Below are 8,934 nucleotides of genomic sequence, written 5' to 3'. Positions count from 1 at the left end.
ATCTTCCTGCCTTGGCATCCCAAAGTGCTGGGATTACAGGTGTGAGCCACCATGCCCAGTCTCAACTATCTGTTTTATGAGAGGAAGAATTTCTTAGGACCTACTGTAATTTGGGGCCAATCTTTTTCTGAGAATTTCCGAAATGTTCATGGTTGTGGTAGGGATTAAAGATATAGCAGGGATGGCCATCTGGGGGAAACTAGAGGAATTCAGGTAAGATGATGGTGGTTACCACTTCCGATTTGTCAGACCAGAGACAATTCATTATCTTGAGTGCTGTACACTTCCATCCTTGGATTGTTTTTATTCTTCTATCACTTCAGCTTCATTCTCCTCCAAGCTCATATTTCCAGAAATAAGTTACAGCCTCCACACCTGGGCATCAGCTGGTTGCACTTCTTCTTTGTGGTCCACTTGAGTGTGACTCTTCCATGTGTTATTTTGCAAGGGTTATCAAAATTTAGGTCATTTGGGAGAAATGGCATTTGCCATGAATTAGAAGGAAGAAGCTCATAAAACAGTTATAATTTATCAGAGAACTCTTCCCTGACTCACTCTACCCTTGTTGGGTCCTTTTATTAAGATATTCTCAAATCTTATGTATGCTTCCTGTGCAGCACTTGTTAGAACTTGTCACACAGGTTTTCAAAATATCTTTTGGTGGCTTTCATTAGACATTAAGTTTCTTGAGATCAGGGACCATGTCTGTCTTTTTTGCTATGTTTCCAGCACTCAGCACAGTACTCAGAACACAAAGTTGCTCAGTGGCTATCTGCTGAATCAATGAGTGTGGGAGCAAAGCCCAGGCTGCTCAAATGTATGTGCTGATGGCATTTATGTGCAGGTAAATAGCTCTTATCCACAGCTTACCTGATTGTACTGTCCAAGCATCAGCACCCTATGACTAAATAAGCAATCAGATGTATTTTATGGGGACTAATTTTCTGAAGTTGGCTCAGGAGGGAAAAAATGGAGACCTGACATGAAATTAATTTATAAATCAGTTTATTTACAGATTTTATCTTTCTTAAAGTATATTTCAGTTAACAAATCTATTTACACAGGTATACATGGGAATTCATCCCAGTTATTTTACAGATCGTACTTACAAACCACACCCTTAAGTGTTCGGTGCAAAATTGCACTGGATGTGACTATTGGCTGAAAATGGCCTGATGACCAGGCTATTTACACGCACACAGTAAACGGGTTTATTTTTTCATGTCTGCACAGTACAGTACACACAAGGAGGCTGAACCTCCCAGAGAATGCTTTGCAATGTGTTTGCCAAGAAGGCTTTGCAAAGTCCAGAAGGAAAAGCTATTAAACATAGGTTAATTAAAATGACAGTACCTCCTTTACATCAGTTTACATTTTTTCTTCACATTTTTATAATACAAAGATATTTTATTGAATTGCTGCACAACCAGTTGAAGATGATTTGTAAACATGTAAATTCCTACAATTTGCATTAAATGTCATTGTAGTTTCTATAATTTGCTCTTTGAATTAATGTTTTATTCACTAGTATTCTTAAGGTAGTAAAAGGAAGATGTAAGTTTGTATTTCTTGCAGAAAAGTTATGAGTCTCTAATGCTGTGCTACAGAAATTCTTTTGCGAGTACACACTTTATTCAAGTATTGCAAAAAGCTAAGGCCACTTTTTTTTCAAGACAAGAAACTGAACAAAATTGTTTTTATCAATAGGCCACAACACTCTTATGAGCAATGAAATCTCTTTTGAAAGATAATTTCTCAGAGACCTGTAGTCACAGAAGGAATTTTCTTTTCTTTTAGGTAAAAGAAAAACAAATTACCTTCCTTATTAACTACGTTTGAGCTCTCCCCACTTTTCCCTATGGTAAAAATTCCTGTGTAGACCTGAAGAGGGAATCTATACCCTGTACTTGTTTAACCCAGAGTTAACTACCCTGGATAGCACAAATTGTTTTGGACTCAGAAGTAAATCTGAAGCCTGTATGTTGGTTTACTGCTAAATTCTGATAGTGCTATTCTAAAAGATATTACTGCTGATGCAAAGATATTTTTCTTAGAGGAATTATGAAGGAAGAGTGAAAGAGGATGAGGGTGTAGGGAGAAGGAACAAAGATTAGAAAGAGGGAATATTTAGGTTCTTGATTAAGAGGCAGAGCTGATTTAAAAAGATACCAATATGGAACGAGTGGCTGGGTATCCACATCTATCTTTCTTAATCCTAAGAATAAAGCCATTTCAATTAGATCCAAATAGTTAATAAGAAATCTGCTAATTATGGATTCTTTTTTCTTTTTTTTTGCTACCAAACTACAGATAACCATTTCTAGAAAAGAATAAGACTGATCCATTTCTGCCTCTCATGTGGAGCCTAGGATTCTTCAGATAGTAAAGACAGTTGGAGTCTGTCAGGACAGCTACTGCCACATTCTTGGCAGCATTTCTTACCAGATTGCTGATTCCATGACTTGTATTTTTTTTTTCTTTTTCTGGAGTCATAATTTCAGAAAGAGTAAAGATAAACTTTCTTATTAAAAACTGGTTTTAGGTCCAAATAATGAAGATGTAGAAAAACAACCTACAGTCCCATTATAACATTTTGAAATTCATTTATAAAAAATTTACAGCAGCTGTAAAGTTTCAGTATCGTAAGGACAACGTGATCCTACAAACAGCCAAAGGATGTAGACAAGATGTTTTTCTGTCTTCCAAATAACACAAACTGAAAAGAAAAGCCTTTGCTTTTCCTTGGCCACATAAAACTAGTATTTCCACACTACTGGTTAATAACCCCAAGAAACCTTTGCTTCTCTTAGTCAATTTGCTCATTATGGCTACAAGACTACAGCTCAACATCACAAGCCCAGAAGAAATGCTGGTAAGACATCAATCTGAGCATTTCCCGAGACCCAATCACAACATTTCAGTGCTTTCCTTATTTGTCAAGAGCTATCATACCAGTCATTGTGCAAAATGCAAATATTCCAATGATTATTTCAGTACATTTCTTAAACGACAAGATGAAACCCAAGAGGAATGGGAGTGTGCATAGTGAAATATTTAAGATGCAAAGGCAAGTTTGGAGGGAAGATGCAGAAATAAACGAACGTGCACACTTAAAGATTATACCATCTTTGGGGTTTTTCTAATATACTTTGAAGCTATAACATTCCAGGATATTTGTAAATATGAATCCAGTAGATGTCTTGTATCATGCTTCTAACCAGGACCTTCAATATTAAGGCATTTACATTCACGCCTAAGAGTATCCACATTCTTCTAGATTACTTGAAGAGGGACAGGACTGATGAACGGAAACCAGTCAAGAAGGCAGGGTACTGAGGTCCCAGGAGAGCATCTCTTATGCTCTAATGTAGCAGCTGGAGTCTATAGATTTTTTTTCAGATGCAGGTAATAGTTGTGAGAAGCAATGCTGCAAGAGAGGCAGAGTTAAATTGTACAGTGTTTTTAAATCATTTTATCCCACTGCTGCTATTGCAGGTGATCTGGAAAAGCCCATCTTCGTTTCACTGAATTAAAATGACTTCTTCAATATGTGTATTGGTTTGTTAAAACCACAGGTTCCTGTGCAAAGACTATGAACCATAGAAGCTTCAAGATGGAGGTTTAACTATTACAAGATGAATCTTTCACTTCTGAATAGGGACACACATTTTCAACTTAATAATTTATCTTAAAATAAATTAAAAAATGTTCCATAGCGCAAAACAAGCACACAAACAATAGACAATATCTTTTTGTCTTTGGTGCACACACTCATTTCCTAAATCATTCAAGTAACAGCATCTCTGACTTCTTGGGGAAAGATGGGAGTTGAAGGTTTGCAGGCCAAAATGAATTATTTCCACTTTGCCATGCCTGGATGCCTGAGATGGTCCTGAGTATCTGTGATTCTGGGAGCAGCTGGTAGAGATTCAGAATGAGTAAGACAAGTGCAGGAGTAAACCAAGGGGTAAAAGAACCAGCCCTGCATTGGTCCTTTGAGCCCAGTCTTCAGTAGGGGCATTTCTTTGTTTTCATGCCCACACAGAGAACACTAAACATAATGCAGAGGTTTAAAATTCTTTAGATGGTGCTCAGAAAGCAAGGCTACCACTTATTCCTGTTAGCCTGACAGTCCACTTGGTGCTGCTCAACTACAATAATGGAAGAAAATGGTCTTCAAAAAGAAATGAAATAAACTCCAGAATGTGAAGTTGGCAGACATTATTGAGCTTGCCTATTTTAGAAGTGGTTAAGGGTTTAATACTGTTTAGAGACTATAATGTCCATTTATGACTTCCATGGTATAGACCAGAATTACATTTCAAAAGTGATGTGATGCATTTATCTATACCTCTCTCACTTGACTTCAGACTCAAAGAAGTGATACCCTAGTCTAAACTCAGAGGTAAGTCAGGTGTTTCTGGCCCTCTGGGACCTAGTAGGGGTGTTAGCAAAAGGTGTAGGATTACACTGTGCAACCCTGCCCACTGAAAATAACCCATTAATCCAGTGGATAGTCTCGAAAGGCAAAGGCTGTAATACCAGGTGTACCACATTGTCCTATGAACTCCATACTGGTAGTCTTTAAGAATAAGTACAAGGTCCAGAAGCACTCTTGCTATGATGGCGATGGGTGTACATCAGGAGGCAGAAAGGCCCAGGACTCACATTAGCACTCAGCGTTCGATTTATTTGCAAGATGTCACACAAGTAGCATTCTCCCCTGCTTTTCACTGATCTGATTCAGAACATCAATAGTATCTTTGATCAGGGTCTCAAAGATCCCGTCGGCTAGCTGCATTTTCACACACAACTCATCCTCATCATAGTTCACCCACTGTGCCTCCTCCTCATGGAGCTCCTGAACCTAGGATTTAGAAGACAATAAGGTTAGAAAATTCCTGTCATACAAAAGCTAGAAAATATAATTGCTGACTTTGTAGTCCTATCCATAGGAATACAGCCCAAGGAAATAAACCAGAGAAAAAAGATAATTCATATGATATCAATACCCCTTTTAAAATTGCAAAAAGTTGAAAAAACCTCAATTGCCAAATATCAAAATGACTTCAAAAATAACATTTGACAATATTCAAGTATTTCATATATATTAAAGATTACCAGTATGTTGTCAATGTCAACGTAAGGGAATATGTATTCCATAAGGAATTCCATAACATAAGAGAATAAGGAATTTAATGGGAGGAAAACACAAAATATTAGACAGAAATGTTCCTCTACTTACAATGGAGTTATGTCCAATAAATTCGCAGTAAATTGAAAATATCATTAAGTCAAAAATGCAGTGAATACACCTAACTTACTGAACATATAGCTTAGCCTAGTCCATCTGAAACATGCTCAGAGCATGTATATTGGTCTACAGTCGGGCAGAATCATCTGCATCACAGTCCACAGGAGAGTATCGGTGTTTACCCTCATGATGGTGTGGCTGACTGCAAGCTGTGGCTCGCTGCTGCTGCCCCCATACCACTTATCACTGGCCCAGGAAAAGATCAAAATTCAAAAATCGAAGTACTGTTTCTACTGAATGTGTGTTGCTTTCATACCATCGTGATGTTGAAAAACAGTAAGTCGAACCCTCATTAAGTAGGGGACATCTGTATATGGATTTACAATTATAAAATGCATATATCGAAAGACAATACTGAATGTGACTCTGGGGTATTATAATAAATGAATAACACTTGTTATAAATAAATTTAACCTTAGGGTATTTTTCAAATGTAATATTGCTGAAGTTTATTTTAAAGTCACTGTTATATTAATACAATACTATTTTTGCATTTTAGGATTCTTATTAGGTAAATAAAAACTAATCAAGTAGAAATAACCTCCCCAGATTTATTGCTTGTTTATAATACATGGGAAAAAAACCTACTTTATTCTAAAAGAAACGCATTAGATTGGCTGGGTGCGGTGGCTCACGCCTGTAATCCCAGCACTTCAGGAGGCCTAGGCGGGTGGATCACCTGAGGTCAGAAGTTGGAGATCAGCCTGGCCAACATGGCGAAACCCCATCTCTACTAAAAATACAAAATCTGCCAGGCATGGTGGCACGCGCCTGTAGTCCCAGCTACTAGGGAGGCTGAGGCAGGAGAATCGCTTGAACCCAGGGGGCGGAGGTTGCAGTGGGCCAAGATTGCGCCACTTCACTGTAGCCTGGGCGACAGAGTGAAACTCCGTCTAAAAAACAAACAAACAAACAAAAAAAACACATTAGATTTGCTATACAAAATGACATTGTGAATGGGATGGAGGCCAGATAAGGAAGTGAACCCTGATCTCAAGTTACAAATTCAGCAAAGTTAATTGCAGTGACAGGGGTCTCTAACTAGAAGTCTTACTTGGCAAAAAAGCCAAGTGACAACATGCTCCTGGCTTGCCCTGATCATAGTTTCATCTTTAAAAAAGCAGAGAAAGTGGGCCGAGCGCGGTGGCTCAAGCCTGTAATCCTAGCACTTTGGGAGGCGGAGACGGGTGGATCACGAGGTCAGGAGTTCAAGACCACCCTGACCAATGTGGTGAAACCCCGTTTCTACTAAAAATACAAAAATTAGCCGGGTGTGGTTGTGTGCACCTGTAATCGCAGCTACTCAGAGAGGCTGAGGCAGGAGAATCGCTTGAACCCGGGAGGCGGAGGTTGCAGTGAGCCAAGATTGCGCCACTGCACTCCAGCCTAGGCGACAGAGTGACTCCATCTCAAAAAAAAAAAAAAAGAGAAAGTGAAGAGGGGAACTTGTACTCTGGTTTGCCTTATAAGGAAACGAGAAGACCCTAGCAAAAAAGAGACTACATCATCCTGAAGCTTGAGAGAGTAAGAGAGGGGAAGAACAGTATTGTCCAACATATATCCTTGGCTGGAGTTGACAAATATGTAACAGGGTGGCTGCCACATTCTTTCTCTTTTAGAAAGGTTGTTTGGAGGATATGTAAACATTTATTCCTCTGTTCCCTAATGTACCACCAAAAAGGGTTCTATGGCCAAATAAAGTTTTGGAGAACTCCCTCTGGGAGAGTTACATTGTACTTAAGCCTATGAGACAGAAGCCCACCAGCAGTAAAGAAACTTGTTTAACTCAGCGTTTCCTATATTTATTTGACCACAGAATCATGGGTATCTACGAAATACTTGTCAACCTACCATGGAATTGGTGTTCCTCTCTTATGAAGGATGCTATAATAAACAGCCTAATATAAGACTTCTTGAACTTGTGCTGAGGGATGGTCTAGGTGTGTGCACAAAAAATTTCACATCCCCAATGAATTTGTTATTCAAAGTTGCGCAGCTTTCCTTTCTATAACAGTTCTTTTAGTCCCCCACCCCGCCCCACTTTTTTTTTGAGACAGAGTCTCACTCTGTCACCCAGGCTGGAGTGCAGTGGCGTGATCTCAGCTCACTGTAACCTCCACCTCCCGGGCTCAAGCTATCTAGCCTGCCTTGGCCTTCCAAAGTGCTGGGATTACAGGCATGAGCCATGCTGCCCAGCCTCTCTTGGCCTGTAATATTAAATCTGTTCTTTGAGCAATTTCCTCCACAATAACAAAATTTAGGAAACACTAAGGAAATCTTTTGTGCACTTGCAGTAGAAATATATGCTCATGACATTTTTTATTCTCTCTCTCGGTGTAACCTCAATGCAGCCCCCACTGAAATGTAAGATTTCGGTGTTGGCAAAAGCTTTGTTCCCACTTAAGAACAGGAACTATTTCTCTGTCAGTCAGTAAGAACATGAACTTTTCCATTTCTCTTTGGCCTTTAGAAAGCTCAGAGCCCAATTTGGATCTTCAACTATAACAACTGGGGGATCTCATAGCCTGCAAATTTGCCTCTATTTTTTTTCCTTCTGATCTTCAGAGTCTATTATATTCTATGACTCATTTCCCCGATCCTGCTCCTGAAGATATATGTATGTATATGTAAAAATTAATACATTTAAAATATAAACAGCTTAATTAATTACATCTAAAAGACTAACAGTTTTTTGTTTTGTTTTGTTTTGTTTTGTTTTTTTGGGAGCAGAGGAGGGGACAGGGTATTAGGCTGGTGGAATAGAGAAATGTAGTAAATAGAATGTGGCCCAATTTCAGCAAGCAGATGCCAGGGTCTTTCACTGTATCCTTGTGAACAAGTTGGGAAAAAAGAGACAGGTTAGGTGGATTTACACTTGTTTGAGACGGGAGTCTCGCTCTGTCACCCAGGCTGGAGTGCAGTGGCGCCATCTCGGCTCACTGCAACCTCCACCTCCCGGGTTCAAGTGATCCTCCTGCCTCAGTCTCCCGAGTAGCTGGGATTACAGGCATGCGCCACTATGCCCGGCTAATTTTTGTATTTTCAGAGAGATGGGGTTTCACCATGTTGGCCAGGCTGGTCTCAAACTCCTGACCTCAGGTGATCCATCTGCCCCGGCCTCCCAAAGTGCTAGGATTAGGTGAGCCACCGTGCCTGGCTAATTTACACTTTTTTGATTAAAGGACAGCTCTCAACCTGCAAGGAAGTTTCTGCCTCAAAGACTCGGAGTTTTTCCTCTGTGCTCCCATTCTATCTTCTTCATATTCCATTACAGCAATTATCATGCTAAATTATATACTGTGTATCTGTTTTCCCACTAGGCTGTGAGCTCTTAAAGGGCCATTTCTTTTTATTTATGATTCCCTCATGACTAGGACAGTGCAAATAGAAGGTGCTATATAAATATATGGCATATAGAATAGATAAGTTTTGTGAATGCTGAAAGGCTGTCTTTAGCTCTACTTCATTGTTTTTAGCAATGACCTAGATGAAGGCAGGTACATCAATTTTAGAAATGACACGAAGCTGGGAAATATAATAATTATGTTCAAAGAAAGAATCAAGAAATGTGGTGGTAGCCTGGAACAATGGGCCACATTTAACAAGATGAAGGAATAAAT

At 39.3% G+C, this 8,934-nt stretch overlaps 1 protein-coding gene across 27 annotated transcripts in view; it reads right to left on the bottom strand.

The window, feature by feature from the left end:
• Nucleotides 1-988: 988 nt before the first annotated feature.
• CEP350 (centrosomal protein 350) overlaps nt 989-8,934 on the bottom strand; it is a 160,066-nt gene continuing 152,120 nt past the window's right edge. For 21 of the 27 annotated variants that reach the window (NM_014810.5, XM_047435442.1, XM_047435459.1 and 18 more), the window contains one exon: nt 989-4,867. In NM_014810.5, coding sequence (NP_055625.4) covers nt 4,703-4,867 — 165 coding nt within the window. In that variant the 3' untranslated portion in view covers nt 989-4,702. The remainder of the gene's footprint in view (nt 4,868-8,934) is intronic. The other 6 variants (XM_047435445.1, XM_047435376.1, XM_047435387.1 and 3 more) reach the window with 1 other exon arrangement.

This window comes from Homo sapiens, chromosome 1, assembly GCF_000001405.40.
Source record: "Homo sapiens chromosome 1, GRCh38.p14 Primary Assembly".
NCBI classification, from domain to species: Eukaryota; Metazoa; Chordata; class Mammalia; order Primates; family Hominidae; genus Homo; species Homo sapiens.
Note: the sequence above shows the minus strand (reverse complement) of the source record. Positions and strands in the feature narration are given on the sequence as shown.